Source organism: Homo sapiens, chromosome 18 (assembly GCF_000001405.40).
Source record: "Homo sapiens chromosome 18, GRCh38.p14 Primary Assembly".
Classification (NCBI taxonomy): Eukaryota; Metazoa; Chordata; class Mammalia; order Primates; family Hominidae; genus Homo; species Homo sapiens.
In genome coordinates this window covers 49708559-49732953 of record NC_000018.10, presented here as the reverse complement: position 1 = coordinate 49732953, position 24395 = coordinate 49708559, and the positions used below count along the sequence as shown (strand labels likewise).

The 24395-nt window shown below is 43.8% G+C and overlaps 1 long non-coding RNA gene across 2 annotated transcripts in view, besides 3 other annotated features; it reads right to left on the bottom strand.

The window, feature by feature from the left end:
* LOC105372112 (uncharacterized) overlaps positions 1-24395 on the bottom strand; it is a 127792-nt gene that overhangs the window by 7530 nt on the left and 95867 nt on the right. The window lies entirely within an intron of this gene.
* Positions 5680-6423: an enhancer, noted in NCBI's record as "H3K27ac-H3K4me1 hESC enhancer chr18:47252901-47253644 (GRCh37/hg19 assembly coordinates)". NCBI's record gives its function as "activates a minimal SCP1, AML or CMV promoter by ChIP-STARR-seq in primed H9 embryonic stem cells {active_cell/tissue: H9 hESC(primed)}" and the evidence as "EXISTENCE:reporter gene assay evidence [ECO:0000049][PMID:30033119]".
* Positions 6424-7169: an enhancer, noted in NCBI's record as "H3K27ac-H3K4me1 hESC enhancer chr18:47252155-47252900 (GRCh37/hg19 assembly coordinates)". NCBI's record gives its function as "activates a minimal SCP1, AML or CMV promoter by ChIP-STARR-seq in naive and primed H9 embryonic stem cells {active_cell/tissue: H9 hESC(naive and primed)}" and the evidence as "EXISTENCE:reporter gene assay evidence [ECO:0000049][PMID:30033119]".
* Positions 8425-9624: an enhancer, noted in NCBI's record as "CDK7 strongly-dependent group 2 enhancer chr18:47249700-47250899 (GRCh37/hg19 assembly coordinates)". NCBI's record gives its function as "activates an origin of replication core promoter dependent on BRD2, BRD4, P300/CBP, MED14 and CDK7 cofactors, with strong dependence on CDK7, by STARR-seq in HCT116 cells {active_cell/tissue: HCT116}" and the evidence as "EXISTENCE:reporter gene assay evidence [ECO:0000049][PMID:35650434]".

The following is a 24395-nucleotide window of genomic DNA, read 5'->3' as shown; positions in this document are numbered from 1 at the left end:
AGACCAGCCTGAGCAACATGGTGAAACCCCATCTCTACAAAAACATACAAAAAATTAGCTGGGCATGGTGGTGTGCACCTGTAGTCCCAGATACTTGGGAGGCTGAGGTGGGAGGAGGATCACCTGAGCCTGGGAGGTCGAGGCTGTGGTGAGCCATCATAACACTACTGCACTCCAACCTAGGCAACAGAGCAAGATCCTGTTTAAAAAAAAAAAAGGAAAAAGAAAAAATGGAGGCCTTCCTGGGAGAGAGAGCAGCATTGCAGAGACATGGAGGAGGAGAGGGTTAATGTGTTCCAAGAATAGCAAACAGTTTAGTAATGCCCAGGCATCAGGGGCTGCAGGGCTGGGTGGGCAGGAATGCAGGAGGGAGGCTGAGCAGCTCAGCCAGGGTCATATCAAGGGTCTAATGAAGTCTCCCCATATCTGGTCCTATCTCAGTTTTCTGAGCCCGACAAAGTAGACGTAATACTTTCTTATTCTCCATATAGAAATCCTTAGGTATATAAACACAAATGCCAAAGCCCAAAAATATGCATTTTAGAATACTCAGCTCTTCTCCAAGTTAAAAAACCCAGGGTGGCCTATATGGCCAAATGGCCCTGAGCTCATCCCCTGAGGAACTGATTCAAGCTTCTCTACAGGAGCCACTGTGCACAGGCAAGAACTAGCCTGTGGCGAAGGAAGCCAAACAGCCAGTCACCTAAGCAAGGTCAACAAAGGCTGGGGGAAAGCAGTCATTGCTCAGTAGTGTCTTGCCTCCAGCCTCACTCTCATCATTCAGAAGCCTGCTCCAGTGTCCCCTCCCCTTCATAGCTCCCTCACCTCCCCAGACTGAATTCCTTCTTCCTAGGTATGTTTCTGGGCCTTGCATGGACTTGCATAAGTACACATATCACTGTGTCTTATGGTTCACTTAATAACATGTTCTGAGTCTGTAAATTCCTTGAAAGCAGGAACTATGTCCTAATAATCTTTCTCTCGCACAACATAACACAGGGCTTGGTATACAGTAGAAATTCAATAAATATTTATTCAACTAGGCTGAACTTTGGGATCTGGCAAGAGATGCATTAGATGACCATGACGATCAAAAGAACCATGGCTGAAGAATAGGAGTGGAAAATAACTACCGGGGGATGGCCGATTTGGCACCCCAGTGCCAAAGCTACAAAGAGAGAAAATCTGACTCAAATTCGTTATATGAAAAGAATTTCTCATGACTAAAAAGTCCCGGGAGAACTTCAGGTGAAGCTTGATCTGTGAGCTCAAACAATATTACCAGGATTCAGTCTGTGTCTCCTGTGTTTATTCTCTGGGCTGTCTTTATTCTCTGTCTCTATGTGGGGCAAGAGTTGCATGGCAGGTCCAGGCCCTCACTGTCCAGGTTTGTGCATAGCTAGAAAGACCATGTGCCTTACTCTCAGTAAGTACAGGAAAAGTGGCATTGATTATCACCAGCTCTGCTGAAATACTTTCCACCCGGAACCAATCACAGCAGCCAGGGGAATGGGATATTCTGATTTTACAGCTGTAAGATAAAGATGATGGCCAGTCTGCAAGTACTGTGCTCATGGCAAATCATGTGACTCACTCTCTGGTACAAATGGGCCCCCTGCAAGTTTAAGCAGGGGACTGTGGTTCAAGAGTCATTATCAGGCACCCCAGCTCTGCCCGTAATTAGCATGTGAACAGGGCAAGTCACTTCACACAGCTTCCCAGACTTCGATCTCCTTATCTCTGTGGGACCCTCTCCAGTGATCTCTCTTGGAAAGATTACTTGCCAAGCTCCACCCTTCCAGCAACAGCACCCTGAAGGCCTGTCTGCCCTAGTTCCTACCTTTGCCCCAGCAGCTCCTCTGGCCATTCCCACCTCCAGCCGCAGGTGTCTGACCACAGATGTCACCTGAGCCTGGAGCCTGGGCATTTGCATTTGGGTTTCTGTCCCTCTGGATTCCAGGAGTCACTGCCCATCCCAAAGGCCTCGGGCCCTGAGGAGCACAGCCTCACGCAGGAGAATTTCCAGGTGAAGGAGGCTTTATTTACACAGCACCTACACTGAGCCACTGGAAAATTGTCTGAGATTTTTTTGACTAAGGAGCAGACAGAGGGAGTGCAATAAGTTTGAGAATGTCAGGTTTGATCCAGGAAGACACCAGACCATGGGAGGCAGCAACATGCAACAAGCTATATTCGGTGGCACTTGGACAGTGTGGAAGGAGACGGTGTGTCCCTCCCGGCAAGGGGCCTTCTGCAGCTGGCAGGCAAGACCACCACCCAGAAGGGGAGTAGGGCTAGGGTTGGGGAGCTCCTGGGGAAGAAAGGGGAGTTGTCCGGGTGATGTCCCTCCACAAGGTGGGGAGTCCCTGGGTCCAAGAGCTCTGAAGGGCAGCAGCGATGTGGAGTCCTTCACAGCCACAGGGTTTGTCTTATCCATGGTCAGCAGATGTTGGAATATGCAAAATAGGTAGGCTCTAAATGGCCAGAAATACAGATGCTCCCCAACTTACGATGGGGCTGCCTCCTGACAAGCCCATCATAAGCTGAAAATGTCTAACCCCATGGAAGGTCAGAGAGCGTACCGAATGCACAGTGCTTTTACACCATTGTAGAGCTGAAACATTTTTAACTGAACCATTGTAAGTCAGGGACCATCTGTATGTTTATTTGGATGATATTCCAAGCAATTGGATATGTAAGAATTTGAGTTTAGCACTGGCTGGCTTTGGGCTAATGGTCCTAGCCTGCTGTGAATAAATGAACAAGACAGGAACATGTTAGGCCAAGCCACTGAGGCCACACTTGGCCCGTTCACATAACAGTGAGATGCAGCTGAGCGAGTATGTCTCCCAGATGTGGGTCCCCCACCAGCCAGGCATGTGTAGAACCCCCATCAGATAAATTGAAATTATCCCCAGAAAACTCAACCCTCCAGGGCCTGAGGAAGTTCCCACTGTGATTTTCTTTCAAGGAATTAAGTAAACAATAATCCTTTAAGTATGAGTGGAACTTTATCTTTTTCAAAGCCCTTTCATATTTGCTTCTTGCAACACCCTCTGACAGAATCAAAATAGGAATGCCCCACGCCCCCACCCTTCACAGATGGGGACATAGGCTCAGACATGTGAAAAGGACACTTGGGAACAGGAACAGGCACAGCCAAGACTGAAAGCTGGACTCCTAAACTTCTGACTGCTCTATTTTGCCAAACCACTAGGGAAGCAGCTGGAAATTGTGCTCATTGAGGGCGAGAGAGGACAGATCAAGACTATTTTCTGCCCTGCGTTCCTGAATTGCACAGACTGACAAAGATTTCATGATCTTGGGCCATGATCATGAGCCATTTGCTCCCTTTTTTTTCTTGAGATGGAGTTTCACTCTGTCATCCAGGCTGGAGGGCCGTGGCACGATCTCAGCTCACTGCAATCTCTGCCTCCCAGATTCAAGCCATTCTCCTGCCTCAGCCTCCCAAGTAGCTGGGATTACAGACACGCACCACCATGCCTGGCTAAGTTTTGTATTTTTAGTAGAGACGGGGCTTCGCCATGTTGGCCAGGATGGTCTTGAACTCCCGACCTCAGGTGATCTGCCCACCCTGGCCTCCCAAAGTGCTAGGAGCTAGGATTATGGGAATGAGCCACTGTACCTGGCTTTTTTTTTTTTTTTTTTTTTTTTTTTAATGAAATGGGGCAGTTCTTACGGAGTTTAAAGAGAAAGTGAGCTGGGTGTGTTGGTTCATGCCTATAATCCCAGCACTTTGGGAGGCCAAGGCAGGTGGATCACAAGCTCAGGAGATAGAGACCATCCTGGCTAACACGGTGAAACCTCATCTAAAAATTAGCCAGGTGTGGTGGCACACACCTGTAGTCCCAGCTACTCTGGAGGCTAAGGCAGGAGAATTGCTTCAACCCAGGAGGCAGAGGTTGCAGTGAGCCGAGATCAAGCCACTGCACTCCAGCCTGGGTGACAAAGCAAGACTCCATCTCAAAAAAAAAAGAAGAAAAAGAAAAAAAGAGAGAAAGTAGTATCAATGTCTTTGCTTTGCCTCACCCACTGTCTCAGCTAGATGTGTCCCTGAGTAATTTAGGCGTCTCACAGATAGGGGAATGGAGGCCCATGAGAGGAAGTCTCATCCAAGGCCCAGAGCAACTGCAGTGCCTTTTCCCCATCGGGCTTGCTCCAGCCTTTGGGCCCTAGGGGGCGCCAGAAAGCCTCACCTTTCCCAGAATCTATGCTGAGAGGAGAATGTTGCCACCAAAGGCCCAGTGGAGGCCATTTGGCCTCCCCCTCTTCATGACATTGTTCACCCAAGTCTCTGCAGCACCCCAATCCTGGGACCCTCAATATCAGAACTCAGTGCTCTAGGGGCCCAAGAGCGGCCTGGCTTCCCTGCCCCACAGGAGTTTAAGGCCCATGGGCTTCTTTTCCCAGGAATTCCTTCATTGCTCCAAAGCCCTTCACCTTTACCAGGAAATAACTCTCCAGGGTGGCCCCAGACACTGCCACTGGGATGCCCCAAACTCTCTTCTGGAAGCCACTCCTCGCACTACCGAGGCCCAAGGGTATTCACCCTGGCCCCGACTTGCTGCTGTCATGTGGCCAGCCATTTCCAGAAATGTTCTGGTTTGAGGACCGAAAGGCCCACGTCCCGGGAAACCCCTCAGTCCTGTGTAAACTGGGACATTGGTCACTGTATTGTCATCTCCCTCATGGTAGGTCGGCTCCAGCCCAGGGCTCAGCCCAGTTCTTGGATCCCAAGCACGGATTTTGATTATTACTCCAAACCATGGGCCAAGTAAGAGGTTCTTTCTGCTGATCTGTAAGGGTCGGCAGGGGCCTGCCCTGTGCCCAGTTCCGCCCCTGTCCAGCCGAGGAAACAGACTTAGTTATTATCTTAGCAAACAAGGAGAAACTGTGTGAGTGAAATAGGATGGTACCATTGCCAGAGTAAATAATAGTAACTGTGTTAAATCTCCAACAAGCACCAGGTTCAACACTGGGAGCTTTGCGTCGACTCTTGCATCTAACCCTCACTGCAAACTACGAGGTAGGTCTCTTCCATGCTGGTTCTACGGATGGCGACTTGGCAGCTCAGTGATCATCAGCTTGCCTGAGGTCACCCCGACTCTAAGGGCACAGTCACAAGCTCTTTCAACCATGTTACCCTGGCGCAGGAGACAGGGCATCTGGCTTCTCATCCCAACTTTTTCATTAGCTAATTACATGACTTTGAGGGAGTCCCTTGGGACCCCGGAGCCTCCACTGCATTGGATAAATGAGAGCTCTAAGCAAGGTGCTCTCCAAAGTCCTTTTGTGGGTAGCTTAGTGATAGAACATGGGCCCTGGGCTGAGATGGGGTTGAGTCGAATGTCAGTGCTGCCACTTACAACACAAGTGGACAGGGACAAGTTACTTAACCGGCCTTCACCTATAAAATCAGGAAACTACCTCCAGTCATTTGTGGTAAGGAGTAAATGAAATGAGGCACCAAGGCTGGTGTTTATGAAAACTTTTTTTTTTTAAATGCCAGCTCTTATTGTTCCAGCTCCTACATTTTAGGACATTGTGTCTCCCTACCCGACCCCCTTTCACCAAGTCCTTATAACAGATCTATATTGCCCAGAATGCATTGCACGCAGAGCTAGAGAAAACTTCTCGGCTGGGCTTGGTGGCTCACACCTGTAATCCCAGCACTTTGGGAGGCCCAGGCAGGAGGATCACTTGAAGTCAGGAGTTTGAGACCAGCCTGCTGGCCAACATGGTGAAACCCTGTCTCTACTAAAAAATACAAAAAAATAGCCGGGCATGGTAGTACTTGCTTATAATCCTAGCTACTCGGGAGGCTGAGGCAGGAGAATTGCTTGAACCTCGGAGGCAGAGGTTGCAGTGAGCTGAGATTGCGCCACTGCACTCCAGCCTGGGCAAAAAGAGTGAGACTCCATCTCAAAAAAAAAAAAAAGCGATAATTTCTTGATTCTTTTTCTCAAATATGCTTCCAGAAAATGGAAAAGACGTGTCCATGGGAAACAGAGAGAGGTGGCCCACAGAGATGGAGGGGAGCAAAAGAGTTGGCTGAGGCCTGACCCAGAAGATAGGAGCCCATGCTCACTGTGGCCAGTCAGTTTCCAGACAGTTACCATGGGAGAGTTGGTAAATCTTCCCTTCTAGGATTTCAGAGCACTGACCTGCCTGCCAGGCCCAAGTCTTAAGATCCAAACCAGGAATGAGCTGTTACTATGGAAAGTGTGATTTTTCTGCAGGATTAAGAAGCCTTCACACTTTTTCAGTCACATCAGAATTGCCACCCCTGGGAGGGATGCGTCGGATAATTTGAACCAGGTGCAGACTTCGTGGCCTGTCTTTACGGGGCAGACACTCATACACAGATTTTGTTGGCTGTGCCATGGACTGTCTTTCTTATTTTCCTAACCTAGTCAGGACTTTCTTCCAAACTTCACAGACAGTTTCGAGAAGCCACACACACTGCCTGCCAGGAGCTGAGCAGAAGCTGGGAGGCCCCGGTGGTAGAAATGCGTTCCAGCGTCACCGAGCCAGGCAATCGCTGCGGCCTTTGGGTCTGCTCCCCTCCAATAGGAGCAGGACTAGCTTTCTTCCAAGGGATCAGGAGATCCTCCCAGCCAATGCAAGGCTGGACCCCTGTGACTCACCCTCTGTGTGTGGCTTCTCAAGCAGATTTCCCAGGACAACATGAAAGGCTGATAGATTATTACTATCTGGTTTCATGTTCCTCCTTTTGTTAAAATTCCTAATATAAGGAAGTGGAGGTGGGGGACTGAAGGAAGTCTCACTTTACAGCCCGACCCCCACTCCCTGGCAGCTCAGCTATTGCTGGCCCTCCAGGGTGGCAAGAGACAGAAGTGTATTTCCCAGGACCAAGTCAAAGAGCTCTTCCCTCTTCATCTCTCTTCCCTTATCAAGGGTGTTAATCTTACTGGAATTCACTTCAGTACAGCAAATGGGGCCAGATGGTAGAGGGGAGGAAATGACCCCAAGGTGTCTTGCCTATAAACCTTCCAGGGCCCTTGGAAACTTCCTGGGGGCACTCAGCCCGTCAGGCCCCCAGGAACTTGTACCAGGTCACAAATTCCCAACCCCTGGGGATGGAGACTGAGCCAGGAAAGGTGGGCTAAGTGAGAAGGTAGAATGAACCCTCTTACCCCTGCTCCAAGATATACTTTTTAAATATTTTCAAATTATTTTTAAATGTTCTTTAATTATTTTTAAATGTTCTTACTAGGTATATTCAGTGGGTGTTTATTCCTCTCCTTCCACCCCTAAAGCTATTATTAAATCTATGAGGTATCTGATAACTGGTTATGGATGAAAAGGTTGACATAAATGAATAAGGAAGAAACAGATATTCCCTGTATGTTACCATTCAATATCCTTTTTTTTTTTTTTTTTTTTTTTTTTTTGCCATTTTCTTCCCATCAGCCTTGGGTTTTAATGGTTTTTATCTACTAATTTTTAAAATAATCTTTTTTAAATAATTAAAAATAGCAACTTGTACACCAATGTTTATAGCAGCATTATTCACAATAGCCACAAGGTGGAAGGAACCTGAATGTCTATTGACAGATGAATGGATAGATTAACTGTAGTCTATCCATATGATGGAATGCTATTCAGCATTAAAAAAGAATAAGGCTGGGTGCGGTGGCTCACGCCTGTAATCCCAGCACTTTGGGAGGCCGAGGCGGGAGGACCACGAGGTCAGGAGATTGAGACCATCCTGGCTAGCACAGCGAAACCCGAAACCCTGTCTTTACTAAAAACACAAAAAATTAGCCGGGCTTGGTGGTGGGTGCCTGTAGTTCCAGCTACTCAGGAGGCTGAGGCAGGAGAATGGCATGAACCTGGGAGGCGGAGCTTGCAGTGAGCTGAGGTCGTGCCACTGCACTCCAGCTTGGGCTACAGAGCGAGACTCCGTCTCAAAAAAACAAACAAACAAAAAACAAAAAAGAATGATAAATTCTGATTCATGCACCACCATGGATGAACCTTAAGGACATTATGCTAAGTGAAATGAGCCAGACACAAAGGCTAATACTGTACGATTCTGCTTATATGAGGCTCCTAGAGTAGTCAAAGTTGCAGAGATAGAGGTAAAATAGAAGTTACCAGGGGTCGGGGAAAGGGGGGATGGGGGAGTTTTTGGTTGATAAGTACAGCATTTCTGTTTGGGGTGATGAAAAAGTTCTGGAGATGCATGGCAGTGATGGCTGTGGAACATTGTGAATGTCCCTCGGTGCCACTGAACTGTACACTTAAACATGATTAAAATGGTAAATTTTATGTTATATACATTTTACCACAGTAAAAAAAAATTTTACAGATAAAATTATTCAGGATTCCAAGCTGGTGACAGCAGAGCATTAAACCAAGCACAGGGTTTTCTGCTTGTGCGGCCCACCACGGCACAGGTCGCATGCTTGTGAAGACACCTGCCTGTACCTGGCATTGGGGACAGCAGCAAATCAGACCTGGCCCTGCCAGCAAGGAGCTGGAAATGGAACCAAACCCCGAGACTCTTCCTGACACTGGCCGGGCAGGAAGAGCTCCTGACCAGTGTTTCCTGACCTGGGTTCTAAGCACAGAAAATGCTGGAATTTTCGCATGTAGCCTAACTTTTGTGAAACACTCTTTCCTGACACATGACATTTCATATAGGTGAGGCAACTTTTGGTATTCTTTTAAAATAGAATTGCAGAATCCTGGGTAAATCAAGGGTTCCATCTCGGAGCTAGGTCTCATCATCACTTTCACCTTTCTGATGTTCCCTCCCGTTAAGATGAGAATCAAACAAGAAAATGCCACATCATGGTTCCTAGATGAGCATCAGGTCAATACAAATAGAAGCCACTGAGATCAGAGTGCAAATGGCACTGAGAGGTGGTCCTGGGGTGCCACAACTTTGACAGGGTGACAACTACTGTTGACTGAGAATGTGGGAGGAGGTGAGTCAGACGGAGAAATCACCGATAAAGAACAATGCTCAATTGTCCGCTGACGCCTCCCTTCTGATAACATCTCACTCTCGAAAAGGCTCAGAGTTTCTCTTTGCAAATTACTAAGGAAAAGGAAGAACCTCTCCACTTCTGGGCAATTTTCCCATCTCTCCTTATAAACAAAAATGTGGTCACTGCCAGCCCGCCCTTCTCCTGCATCCCACACTGTGCTGTGCCCTCACGAAGCCTAGAGTGACCGCAAGACGGGGCAACCCCCGGGGGCTGCCTTTGAGCCACGGCTGTGAGAGAGGGTAGAGCCACATTTCAAGTTCTCGCTCCTCTGTTGTGTTTCCCAGACCTTCTTTTTTAATGTGTGAAAGCTTCCCTTAAATCCTTTAGGAAAACTGGCAGTACATAAAAAACAAAAACAAAAAGTCAAGAGTAGAACAATGATAGCTCTTGTCTCAAATAACTAAATGCAGAAATAAACAAGTTCTTCCCATAGCCTAGCCACTGATGGTGTGTCAGAATAAAAATGAGGACCTGGGAGTTCTTCAGTCAAATTGCTTTCGTCAAATTATGTGCCCTTTGAGATCCTTCTTGTCTCAAAAAGGGATAATCCTATTTCCCAGAGGTGTTTGGACACCAAATGAAATTTGCCGTAGAAAGTCTAAAAACCCCATTGGACCCACCTTTACCTAACATTGGGATCCGAGAACACCTGATGACAGCTCATCCCACACCACAGAACTGAAGGTCAGCGGCTGGTTGTGTACAGGGAGCCAGGAAGGCTTTCCTGCAAAGCTATATTTTACTCAGAATATATCTATGCCTGTTTCCCTTCCAGGTCTCCCAGCAAGGTAAGTTTATCCTGTGATGTCCAGTTCCGGCCCCATGGTTTGGCAAGTGCTACCTTAAAGAAAGGCCAGGGCTGAGCACCATGGCCTTATTGTCTTTGCTGCAATTTACTTTAAAATGCTTTGGTATAAACAGTATGATGTACCTGTGTGAAATTAGCTTATACATTTACTTGCTCAGAATAGGTGATACATTCACATGGTAAAACCATCAAAACAATATGAACTGTATTACAGTGAAAAGTCTTGTTTCTACTCCTACCCCTATTGGCCCTATTTCGAATCCTCTTTCCTACCCTGATCCCCAGAGGTAACTTACTAGTTTCCTGCGTATCTGTCCAGCAAATACAAATGCAAATACAAATGCAAACCCTTATTTCCCTCCAGCTCCATAGAATGCAAATTATTTCCTCAGATGTCTGCACCTTGATCTTTCCCTGAACCCTATATCTTGGGGTGGGGGCAGGTGTTTCTCCACCAGTTCCTGGAAAGCTTCCTTATTTGCTTACTTCAGTAGCACACTGTTCCATTGTGTGATTGCACCAAATTTTCCTTATGGAGTCTCACGAAGGTGGGCATTTTGGTTGTTTCTAGTTGTAAGATGACTTAAATCAACATCCCGAGAGTGGCTAGTTAGCATTTAAAGCACTAACCACTTGATTTCAAAATTTAAGTCACAGGGCTCCAGAATTATCATACAAGATGATAGAAGTAATTTCTAAATTTTCACTGGTGAAATGAATGCTGATCAACGTGGTTAGCTAGAAAGATGTTACAATACCCACCACCCATGAAAACAAGGTCTAAGAAGCTAGCCAGCCCAGCAACCCAGCCCCTCTGGAGTGCAGCCTAGAGTGTGAAATCCATCTGGTTTGGGTCTGCCACTTCATGGCGGTGGGGCAGGGGCGGTCTGCCCCTGACTCACCATCATGATATTATTCCACCCCCTCTGAGTGTACATCTGATGCAAGGGACTTGATGCATGTTTGTGAGTGGGAACATCCCTGACTTTGGAAGAACAGGTCACTTGATTGCTTTCATGTAGAATTTGGTCTAATACTTGTGTAGGGAATGAAAATAATAACTTTTTTTCTCACCCATTGCTAGGTTCATGACCAAAGACCCTATAACAAAACACAGATTAACAAAAGAAAAGCATACAGATTTTCTAAATAAATGTTTTATGTGACATAGGAGCTTTCAGAAAGGAGAACTGAAAGACACAGGTAGACGTGTATATTTATGCTTAGGTTAGATAAAGAGTGGATAGTCGTGGGGCAGTATCATTAGCGGGCAAAAGGGTATGATCTAATGGTAATAAACTGGGGGAACTTAGCAGGGCCTATCTGTTCAGATTCTTCTGGGTGTCTCTGTCTTTGGCTCTTTTATAGAGAGGGTACCTCTTGAATGAGGATCTTAGATCTGCTTCAAGGGAAAAGGGTAAGAGAAGGTGAGAGTGACCGTTCTGCTCCTGTAGCATTCCCAAATGTCAAGTGGCTATATTTTGGGGTAACATATCCTAAACCCCATCACTTGCTTTTGTTGTAACATGCCACTTCAGGGAGAAATTGGGGGAAGGGGACAAAGTGCCTTTATTACTTCCCACTTCTGGAAGCTTCTGAGAGCTCATAGCAAATGCTGAAAGACCAACCTGATTGGCTTAGGTCACTCCCGAAAATGATGGAGTTGCATCTTGTCCTGAAGTCAGAATGGAAATAGAAAATCAAACTAATAAAAATCACCCTTGAAAATCCCTTAAATTTCCCAAAAAGTATACCACACATGGTTTTGTATATGCAGCTTTGGATTAGTTCCTGTAATTGTTAGTTAAGACTTCTCTACAACCCTTAATTCAGTTCTTTCATTTCTTCTTCGAGAAATGAAAAACCATCACTCACCTGCCTGGCCACTTGCAGATGAGCTGTACTCTCTCTGCCATGGGTCAGGACCCATTTTATTTTATTTATTTATTTTATTTTATTTTTTTGGTGGTGGGTGATTTTTATTTTATTTTTTTATTTTTTTAAATTTTATTATTATACTTTAAGTTTTAGGGTACATGTGCACAATGTGCAGGTTTGTTACATATGTATACATGTGCCATGTTGGTGTGCTGCACCCATTAACTCGTCATTTAGCATTAGGTATATCTCCTAATGCTATCCCTCCCCCCGCCTCCCACCCCACAACAGTTCCTGGTGTGTGATGTTCCCCTTCCTGTGTCCATGTGTTCTCATTGTTCAATTCCCACCTATGAGTGAGAACATGCGGTGTTTGGTTTTTTTGTCCTTGCGATAGTTTGCTGAGAATGATGGTTTCCAGTTTCATCCATGTCCCTACAAAGGACATGAACTCATCATTTTTTATGGCTGCATAGTATCCCATGGTGTATATGTGCCACATTTTCTTCATCCAGTCTATCGTTGTTGGACATTTAGGTTGGTTCCAGGTCTTTGCTATTGTGAATAGTGCCGCTATAAACATATGTGTGCATGTGTCTTTATAGCAGCATGATTTATAATCCTTTGGGTATATACCCAGTAATGGGATGGCTGGGTCAAATGGTATTTCTAGTTCTAGATCCCTGAGGAATCGCCACACTGACTTCCACAATGGTTGAACTAGTTTACAGTCCCACCAACAGTGTAAAAGTGTTCCTATTTCTCCACATCCTCTCCAGCACCTGTTGTTTCCTGACTTTTTAATGATTGCCATTCTAACTGGTGTGAGATGGTATCTCATTGTGGTTTTGATTTGCATTTCTCTGATGGCCAGTGATGATGAGCATTTTTTCATGTGTTTTTTGGCTGCATAAATGTCTTCTTTTGAGAAGTGTCTGTTCATATCCTGCACCCACTTGTTGATGGGGTTGTTTGTTTTTTTCTTGTAAATTTGTTTGAGTTCATTGTAGATTCTGGATATTAGCCCTTTGTCAGATGAGTAGATTGCAAAAATTTTCTCCCATTCTGTAGGTTGCCTGTTCACTCTGATGGTAGTTTTTGTTTTTGCTATACAGAAGCTCTTTAGTTTAATTAGACCCCATTTGTCAATTAGATCCCATTTTTGCTTTTGTTGCCATTGCTTTTGGTGTTTTAGACATGAAGTCCTTGCCCATGCCTATGTCCTGAATGGTATTGCCTAGGTTTTCTTCTAGGGTTTTTATGGTTTTAGGTCTAACATGTAAGTCTTTAATCCATCTTGAATGAATTTTTGTATAAGGTGTAAGGAAGGGATCCAGTTTCAGCTTTCTACATATGGCTAGCCAGTTTTCCCAGCACCATTTATTAAATAGGAAATCCTTTCCCCATTGCTTGTTTTTGTCAGGTTTGTCAAAGATCAGATGGTTGTAGATATGCAGCATTATTTCTGAGGGCTCTGTTCTGTTCCATTGGTCTATATCTCTGTTTTGGTACCAGTACCATGCTGTTTTGGTTACTGTAGCCTTGTAGTATAGTTTGAAGTCAGGTAGTGTAATGCCTCCAGCTTCGTTCTTTTGGCTTAGGATTGACTTGGCGATGCAGGCTCTTTTTCGGTTCCATATGAACTTTAAAGTAGTTTTTTCCAATTTTGTGAAGAAAGTCATTGGTAGCTTGATGGGGATGGCATTGAATCTCTAAATTACCTTGGGCAGTATGGCCATTTTCACGATATTGATTATTCCTACCCATGAGCATGGAATGTTCTTCCATTTGTTTGTATCCTCTTTTATTTCATTGAGCAGTGGTTTGCAGTTCTCCTTGAAGAGGTCCTTCACATCCCTTGTAAGTTGGATTCCTAGGTAATTTATTCTCTTTGAAGCAATTGTGAATGGGAGTTCACTCATGATTTGGCTCTCTGTTTGTCTGTTATTGGTGTATAAGAATGCTTGTGATTTTTGTACATTGATTTTGTATCCTAAGACTTTGCTGAAGTTGCCTATCAGCTTGAGGAGATTTTGGGCTGAGACGATGGGGTTTTCTAGATATACAATCATTTCATCTGCAAACAGGGACAATTTGACTTCCTCTTTTCCTAATTGAATACCCTTTCTTTCCTTCTCCTGCCTGATTGCCCTGGCCAGAACTTCCAACACTATGTTGAATAGGAGTGGTGAGAGGGGGCATCCCTGTCTTGTGCCAGTTTTCAAAGGGAATGCTTCCAGTTTTTGCCCATTCAGTATGATATTGGCTGTGGGTTTGTCATAGATAGCTCTTATTATTTTGAGATATGTCCCATCAATACCTATTTTATTGAGAGTTTTTAGCATGAAGTGTTGTTGAATTTTGTCAAAGGCCTTTTCTGCATCTATCGAGATAATCATGTGGTTTTTGTCTTTGGTTCTGTTTATATGCTGGATTACATTTATTGATTTGCATGTGTTGAACCAGCCTTGCATCCCAGGGATGAAGCCCACTTAATCATGGTGGATAAGCTTTTTGATGCGCAGCTGGATTCGGTTTGCTAGTATTTTATTGAGGATTTTTGCATCGATGTTCGTCAAGGATATTGGTCTAAAATTCTCTTTTTTGGTTGTGTCTCTGCCAGGCTTTGGTATCAGGATGATGCTGGCCTCATAAAATGAGTTAGGGAGGATTCCCTCTTTTTCTATTGATTGGAATAGTTTCAGAAGAAATGGTACCAGCTCCTCTTTGTACCTCTGGTAGAATTCGGCTGTGAATCCATCTGGTCCTGGACTTTTTTTGGTTGGTAAGCTATTGATTATTGCCTCAATTTCAGAGCCTGTTATTGGTCTATCAAGAGATTCAGCTTCTTCCTGGTTTAGTCTTGGGAGGATGTATGTATCGAGGAATTTATCCATTTCTTCTAGATTTTCTAGTTTATTTGCGTAGAGGTGTTTATAGTATTCTTTGATGATAGTTTGTATTTCTGTGGGATTGGTGGTGATATCCCCTTTATCATTTTTTATTGCGTCTATTTGATGCTTCTCTCTTTTCTTCTTTATTAGTCTTGCTAGTGGTCTATCAATTTTGTTGATCTTTTCAAGAAACCAGCTCCTGGATTCATTGATTTTTTGAAGGGTTTTTTCGTGTCTCTATTTCCTTCAGTTCTGCTCTGATCTTAGTTATTTCTTGCCTTCTGCTGGCTTTTGAATGTGTTTGCTCTTGCTTTTCTAGTTCTTTTAATTGTGATGTTAGGGTGTCAATTTTAGATCTTTGTCAGGACCCATTTTAAATGACCCATATGTTCATTCCACAGATCTTGCTTGCACTGATCCAGGCCTTGCTGCCTCCGGTGCTGTCTACCATGATGATGCAAAAGGCCTGATCCCAGAAGTTGGATATGAATCCCCATAAGTTACATGTGCCTAGGAAGCAACTGTTGTGCCTTCCACGTGGGGCAGCTACAGGAGAGCCCTGAAGAAGTGGGGACTCTCCAGGGACCTACGTACCAAAATCCAGGACAAAAACAGCTACATGGGAGATATGAAGTTGAGAGTGGGGAGAGAAAGGCAAACATTATTTTTTAAAGGAATAGCTCTGCTAAAAGTAAAGTTTAAAGTAAAAAAAAAAAACACATACATACACACAAAAACATAAAAGGACAGTTCTAAAGAAATTCCATTCTTCAATATTCAACAGACACTATAATGATCCATGGGTACCACAGAATTTCATGGGAAAAAATGTTCATGACACAATGTTAAAGAGAAAAAGCAAAACAAAAAATGGAACCCATATTTCACACTCACTCCAACTTTAGCTAAGGAGAGACACTAAACTAGGAGAGAATGCACCAAAATGGATGTTATAATCATGACATTATGAGTGAATGTTTTCTTTTTCTTTTCTCAGTTTTCTAACTTTCTGTGATATGGTTATGCTGTTTTGATAATTTTTAAAAATTATAAATGTAGGAAAGATATACAAAGAAATGAGACAGATTTAAGGCCAGGTGCAGTGGCTCATGCCTGTAATCCCAGCACTTTAGAAGGCCAAGGCGGGCGGATCACCTGAGGTCGGGAGTTCGAGACCAGCCTGACAAACATGGAGAAACCCCATCTCTACTAAAAATACAAAATTAGCCAGGTGTGGTGGCACATGCCTGTAATCCCAGCTACTCAGGAGGCTGAGGCAGGAGAATCACTTGAACCCAGGAGGTGGAGGTTGCTGTGAGCCAAGATTGTGCCATTGCACTCCAGCCTGGGCAACAAGAGTGAAATTCCATCGCAGAAAAAGAAAAAAGAGACAGATTTAAAGAATAATAATTATTCGATTGCTGGCAAGATGGTTGAATAGGAACAGCTCCCGTCTGCAGCTCCCAGCAAGATTGGCGCAGAAGGTGGGTGGTTTCTGCATTTCCAACTGAGGTAACCGGCTCATCTTACTGGGACTGGTTGGACAGTTGGTGCAGCCCACAGAGGGTGAGCCAAAGCAGGGTGGATTATCGCCTCACCGGGGAAGTGCAAGGGGTCAGGGAATTTTCTCCCCTTCCCAAGGGAAGCTGTGAGGGACTGAGCCTGAGGAACCGATAACTCCGGCCCAAATAATATGCTTTACCCATGGTCTTCGCAACCCGCAGACCAGGAGATTCTCCCTGGTGCCTACTCCACCAGGGCCCTGGGTTTCAAGCACAAAACTGGGCAGCCATTTGGGCAGACACCAAACTAGCTGCAGGAGTTTTTTTCCATACCTCAGTGGTGCCTGGAACGCCAGTGAGACAGAACAGTTCACTCCCCTGGAAAAGGGGCTAAAGCCAGGTAGTCTGTCTCAGTGGGTCCTACCCCCACAGAGCCGAGCAAACTAAGATCCACTGGCTTGAAATTCACACTGGCAGCACAGCAGTGGTCTGAGATCGACCTGGAACACTTGAGCTTGGTGTGGGGAGGGGTGTCCGCCATTGCTGAGGCTTGAGTAGGTGGTTTTATCCTCACAGTGTAAACAAAGCCACCAGGAAGTTCGAACTGGGCAGAGCCCACAGCAGCTCACCAAGGCCGCTGTGGCCAGACTGCCAGATTTCTCCTTTCTGGGAAGCACATCTCTGAAAAAAAGGCAGCAGCCCCAGTCAGGGACTTATAGATAAAACTCCCAACTCACTGGGACAGAGCACCTGGGGGAAGGGGCGGCTGCAGGCTCAGCTTCAGCAGATTTAAATGTCCCTGCCTGATGGCTCTGAAGAGAGCAGTGGACCTCCTAGCACAGTGTTCGAGCTCTGCTAAGGGTCAGACTACCTCCTCAAGTCAGTCCCTGACCCCCGTGTATCCTGACTGGGAGACACCTCCCAGTGGGGGCCAACAGACACCTCACACAGGAGAGCTCTGGCTGGCATCTAGCAGGTGCCCCTCTGGGATGAAGCTTCCAGAGGAAAGAACAGTCAGCAGTCTTTGCTGTTCTGCAGCCTCCACTGGTGATAACCAGGCAAACAGGGTCTGGAGTGGACCTCCAGCAAACTCCAGCAGACCTGCAGCAAAGAGGCCTGACTGTTAGAAGGAAAACTAACAACAGAAAGGAAGAGCACATCCACTCGGAGACCCCATCCAAAGGTCACCAATATCAAAGACCAAAGGTAGATAAATCCACAAAGATGAGGAGAAACCAGTGCAAAAAGCTGAAAATTCCAAAAACCAGAATGCCTCTTTTCCTCCAAAGGATAACAACTCCTTGCCAGCAAGGGATCAAAACTGGATGGAGAATGAGTTTGACGAACTGACAAAAGTAGGCTTCAGAAGTTGAGTAATAATAAACTCCTCTGAGCTAAAGGAACATATTCTAACCCAACGCAAGGAAGCTAAGAACCTTGAAAAAAGGTTGAATTGCTAACTAGAATAACCAGTTTAGAGAAGAACATAAATGACCTGATGGAGCTGAAAACCATGGCGCGAAAACTATGTGTAGCATACAAAAGTATCAATAGCTGAATCAATCTAGTGGAAGAAAGGATATCAGAGATTGAAGATCCACTTAATGAAATAAAGCGAGAAGACAAGATTAGAGAAAAAAGAATAAAAAGGAACAAACAAAGCCTCCAAGAAATATGGGACTATGTGAAAAGACCAAATCTACGTTTGACTAGTGTACCTGAAAGTGATGGGGAGAATGGAACCAAGTTGGAAAACACTCTTCAGGATATTACCCAGGAGAACTTCCCCAACCTAGCAAGACAGGCCAATATTCAAATTCAGGAAATACAGATAACACCACAAAGATACTCCTTGAGAAGAGCAAACCCAAGACACATAATAGTCAGATTCACCAAGGTTGAAATGAAGGGAAAAACGTTAAGGGCAGCCAGAGAGAAAGGTCAGGTTACCCACAAAGGGAAGCCCATCAGACTAACAGCAGATCTTTCTGCAGAAACTCTAGAAGCCAGAAAAGAGTGGGGGCCAATATTCAACCATCTTAAAGAAAAGAATTTTCAACCCAGAATTTCATATCCAGCCAAACTAAGCTTCATAAGTGAATGAGAAATAAAATCCTTTACAGACAAACAAATGCTGAGAGATTTTGTCACCACCAGGCCTGCCTTTCAAGAGCTCCTGAAGGAAGCACTAAACATGGAGAGGAAAAACTGATACCAGCCACTGCAAAAACATACCAAATTGTAAAGACCATTGACACTATGAAGAAACTGCATCAACTAACGGGCAAAATAACCAGCTAGCATCATAATGACAGATCGAATTGACACATAACAATATTAACCTTAAATGGAAATGGGCTAAATGCCCCAATTAAAAGACACAGACTGGCAAATTGGATAAAGAGTCAAGACCCATCAGTGTGCTGTATTCAGGAGACCCATCTTACATGCAAAGACACACAGAGGCTGAAAATAAAGGGATGGAGGAATATTTACCAAGCAAATGGAAAGCAAAAAAAAAGCAGGAATTGCAATCATAATATCTGATACAAAAGACTTTTAACCAACAAAGATCAAAAAAGACAAAGAAGGCCATTACGTAATGTTAAAGGGATCAATGCAACAAGAAGAGCTAACTATCCTAAGTATATATTCACCCAATATAGGAGCACCCAGATTCATAAAGCAAGTTCTTAGAGACCTACAAAGACACTTAGACTCCCATACAATAATAGTGGGAGACTTTAACACCCCACTGTCAATATTAGACAGATCAACCAGACAGAAAATTAACAAGGATATTCAGGACTTGAACTCAGCTCTGGACCAAGCGGACCTAGTAGAAATCTACAGAACTCTCCACCCCAAATCAACAGAATATACATTCTTCTCAGGACCTCATTGCACTTATTCTAAAATTGACCACATAATTAGAAGTAAAACACTCCTTAGCAAATGCAAAAGAACAGAAATCATAGCAAACAGTCTCTGAGACCACAGGGCAATCAAGTTAGAACTCAGGATTAAGAAACTCACTCAGAACCGCACAACTACATGGAAACTGAACAACCTGCTTCTGAATGACTATTCAGTAAATAATGAAATGAAGGCAGTAATAAAGATGTTCTTTGAAATCAATGAGAACAAAGACACAACATATCAATCTCTGGGACACATTTAAAGCAGTATATAGAGGGAAATATATAGCACTAAATGCCCACAAGAGAAAACAGGAAAGATCTAAAATCAACACCCTAACATCACAATTAAAAGAAATAGAGAAGCAAGAGCAAACAAATTCAAAAGCTAGCAGAAGACAAGAAATAACTAAGATCAGAGCAGAACAGAAGGAGATAGAGACACGAAAAATCTTTCAAAAAATCAATGAATCCAGGAGCAGGTTTTTTGAAAAAAATCCACAAAATTGATAGACCACTAGCCAGACTAACAAAGAAGAAAAGACAGAAGAACAAAATACATGCAATAAACAATGATGAAGGGGATATCACTACTGATCCCACAAAAATACAAACTACCATCAGAGAATAATATAAACACCTCTATGCAAATAAACTAGAAAATCTAGAAGAAATGGATAAATTCCTGGACACATACACCTTCCCAAGTCTAAACCAGGAAGAAGTTGAATCCCTGAATAGACCAACAAGAAGTTCTGAAATTGAGGCAGTAATTAATAACCTACCAACCAAAAAATGTCCAGGACCAGACAGATTTACAGCCGAATTCTACCAGAGGTATAAAGAGGAGCTGGTACCATTCCTTCTAAAACGATTCCAATCAATAGAAAAAGAAAGAATCCTCCCTAACTCATTTTATGAGGCCAGCATCATCCTGATAACAAAACCTGGCAGAGACACAACAAAAAAAGAAAATTTCAGGCCAATATCCCTGATGAACATCGATGCGAAAATCCTCAATAAAATACTGGCAAACCGAATCCACCAGCACATCAAAAAGCTTATCCACCATGATCAAGTCAGCTTCATCCCTGAGATGCAAGGCTGGTTCAACATATGCAAATCAATAAATGTAATCCATCATATAAACAGAACCAATGACAAAAACCACATGATTATCTCAATAGATGCAGAAAAGGCCTTCAACAAAATTCAACATCCCATCATGCTAAAAACTCTAAATAAACTGGATATCAATGGAATATATCTCAAAATAATAACAGCTATTTATGACAAACCCACAGCCAATATCATACTGAATGGGCAAAAACTGGAAGCAATCCCTCTGAAAACCGGCACAAGACAAGGATGCCCTCTCTCATCACTCCTATTCAACATAGTATTGGAAGTTCTGGCCAGGGCAATCAGGAAAGAGAAAGAAATAAAAGGTGTTCAAATAGGAAAAGAGGAAGTCAAATTGTCTCTGTTTGCAGATGACATGATCGTATATTTAGAAAACCCCATCATCTCAGCCCTAAATCTCCTTAAGCTGAGAAGCAACTTCAGCAAAGTCTCAGGATACAAAATCAATCTGCAAAAATCACAAGCATTCCTATACACAAATAACAGACAAACAGAGAGCCAAATCATGAGTGAACTCTCATTCACAATTGCTACTAAGAGAATAAAATACCTAGGAATATAATTTACAAGGGATGTGAAGGACCTCTTCAAGGAGAACTACAAACCACTGCTCAAGGAAATAAGAGAGGACACAAACAAATGGAAAAACATTCCATGCTCATGGATAGGAAGAATCAATATTGGAAAATGGCTATCCTGCCCAAAGTAATTTATACATTCAATGCTATCCCCATCAAGCTACCACTGACTTTCTTCACAGAATTGGAAAAAACTACATTAAACTTCATATGGAACCAAAAAAGAGACCACCGCATAGCCAAGACAATCCTAAGCAAAAAGAACAAAGCTGGAGGCAACACACTACCTGACTTCAACGTACTACAAGGTACAGTAACCAAAACAGCATGGTATTGGTACCAAAACAGATATATAGACCAATGGAACAGAATAGAGGCCTCAGAAATAACACCACACATCTACAACCATCTGATCTTTGACAAACCTGACAAAAACGAGCAATGGGGAAAGGATTCCCTATTTAATAAATGGTGTTGGGAAAACTGGCTAGCCATATGCAGAAAACTGAAACTGGACCCCTTCCTTTTGCGTTATACAAAAATTAACTCAAGATGGATTAAAGCCTTAAATGTTAAGACCTAACACCATAAAAATCCTAGAAGAAAACCTAGACAATACCATTCAGGACATATGCATGGGCAAAGACTTCGTGACTAAAACACCAAAAGCAATGGCAACAAAAGCCAAAATTGACAAATGGGATCTAATTAAACTAAAGAAGCTTCTGCACAGCAAAAGAAACTCTCATCAGAGTAAACGGGCAACCTGCAGAATGGGAGAAATTTTTTGCAATCTATCCATCTGACAAAGGGCTAATATCCAGATCTACAAAGAACTTAAACAAATTTACAAGAAAAAACAACCCCATCAAAAAGTGGGCGAAGTATATGAACAGACACTTCTCAAAAGAAGACATTTATGCAGCCAACAAACATATGAAAAAATGCTCATCATCACTGGTCATTAGAGAAATGCAAATCAAAACCACAATGAGATACCATCTCATGCCAGTTAGAATGGCAATCATTTAAAAAGTCAGGAAACAACAGATGCTGGAGAGGATGTGGAGAAATAAGAATGCTTTTACACTGTTGCTAGGAGTATAAATTAGTTCAACTATTGTTGAAGACAGTGTGGCAGGATCTAGATCTAGAACTAGAAATACCATTTGACCCAGCAATCCCATTACTGGGTATATACCCAAAGGATTATAAGTCATTCTGCTATAAAGACACATGCACACGCATGTTTATGGCGGCCCTATTCACAATAGGAAAGACTTGGAACCAACCCAAATGTCCATCAATGATAGATTGGATAAAGAAAACATGGCACATATATACCATGGAACAATATGCAGCCATAAAAAAGAATGAGTTTATGTCCTTTGCAGGGACATGGATGAAGCATCATTCTCAGCAAACTGACACAAGAATGGAAAACCAAACACCACATGTTCTCACTCATAAGTGGGAGTTGAACAATGAGAACACATGGACACAGGGAAGGGAACATCACATACCGGTGCCTGTAGGGGGTTGGAGGCTAGGGGAGGGATAGCATTAAGAGAAATACCTAATGTAGGTTACAGGTTGATGGGTGTAGCAAACCACCATGGCATGTGCACACCTATGTAACAAACCTACACGTTCTGCTCATGTACCCCTGAACTTAAAGTATAATTTAAAAAAATTTAAAAAGAATAATCATTAACACCAATAACTTAAAGCCACCACTGGATTATGTTAAAAGGTTTTTGATGAATCTGTGTTCCAAATGCAGAGAGAGGAGGGAGTGAGAGAGATTTTGTTCTTTAAATTAAAGCACATCTATTAGAAGAAACCTGAAAAAGGCTCAAGGCTGCCACATCTTCATGGCTCAGCCTTGCCAGTGGCTCTTGGTAGGCAAAGGCACAGAAAACTGGGCTAGAGCTCTGGGCAGGTGCCCAGCAGACATTCCACAAATGGTGGCTTTCTTAACTCTTGACTTTTCTTTTGGATTCTAGGGGTACATGTACAGGTTTGTTACATGGGTATATTGGATGGTGTTCAGGTTTGGAGCATGAATGATCCTGTCCCAAGGTAAGTGAGCAAAGTACCCAGTGGGGAGTTTTTCAGCCCATGCCCCTTTCCCCCAACCCTGCTCTAGCAGTCCCCAGTATCTGTTATTCCCATCTTTATGTTTTTGTGTACTCAATGTTTAGCTCCTACTTATACGTGAGAACATGTAGCATTATTGTTCCTTGACCAAACCAAGGGTTGGGCTGCTTATTCTCGTGTGCCAATAATGAGATGTAGATGAACTGGGAAAGAAGAGAGGTTTTTATTTCTGTAACCAATTACAGGGAGAAGGCCTGGAAATTATCGCCAGACCAACTCAAAGTTACAAAGTTTATATATCTTCTAAGTTACATGTCCATGTGTAAGTGTGCATTCATCTAAAGACCTAAGTGATTAACTTCTTTTAATCTATAACTAAGGTCTGAGTCTTGAAGACCTTCCTCTGGAGCCTCAGTAAATTTACTTAATCTAGATGGGTGCAGGTGCCAGGGGTAATTACCCTTATCTTGTCTCCTGCTAAACCGTGGAGGTTTGGGGAGTTCCTTCAGACCCCTAATAAACTTGTTTGTGGAGGTCTGGGGAGTTTCTTCAGACCCTCAATAAAAACGTGTTTAATCCTAAATGGGTCCTGTTAAAGATTCCTTCTTTATCTTGTTATGCTTCAAGGTCCAGGAAAGGCCTAGGCAAAACTCTTGGTGAGCTTTTGTTACATTCCAGCCTTTGTAGAAAGACACTGGCTCTTTCAGCTTTTAATATTTAACTTAACCACTCAGTCAGTGCTGAAACAGTTGTTATGGAGGACTGTGTTAGTGAGACCTGGCCTGCCACATTAGGTTTTCTATTCCTGCATTAATTTGCTTAGGATAATGGCCTCCAGCTGCACCCATGTTGCTGCAAAGGACATGATTTCATCCTTTTCGTGGCTGCATAGTATTCCACGGTGCATGTACCACATTTTCTTTTATCCAGTCCACCACTGATGGGCACCTGGTTTGATTCCATGTCTTTGCTATTGTGAATAGTGCTCCAGTGAACATACACATGCATTTGTAAATGGCTGTTTTCTTGACTTTCATTCCCCTATAAAACCTGCACAGAGAAGGAATTGGCACATCAGTGGCTCCTCAGCTCCTTAGCTGTCCCCTTGGCAGTCCCTAACCCATTTTTTGCCCTCGCATCAGGAAGCCCATGTTTCCCCAGAGTCAGGAAGCCCTCCTGGAAATGCAGAGGCTGGCTGTGACCCAGCAGAGCTCGGCAGGGTGCAGTCCTGGGGTCAGGCTCAAGTTTCTGGGAAAGTGCCTGCAATTATAGGTGTGTGGCTTTTCTCGGTATGAAACCCATACTTCCCCCTTCAACTCCAAACTCCAGCAAAAGGAGCTGTCCTTGGGAGCATCTTCCTATGAAGACGGGAACAGGAATAGCATGCATCCCCCTCAGTGGCACTAATGGTATCCTCTCTCCAGCCTCATATCCTCCAAAGAAAACCAGGGTGCAAACTAGGGGAGCCTGGTTCCCCCTCGTCAGAAACCACAGCAAGAAGTGAGAAGCATTCACAGACTGATGAAGGCCTGT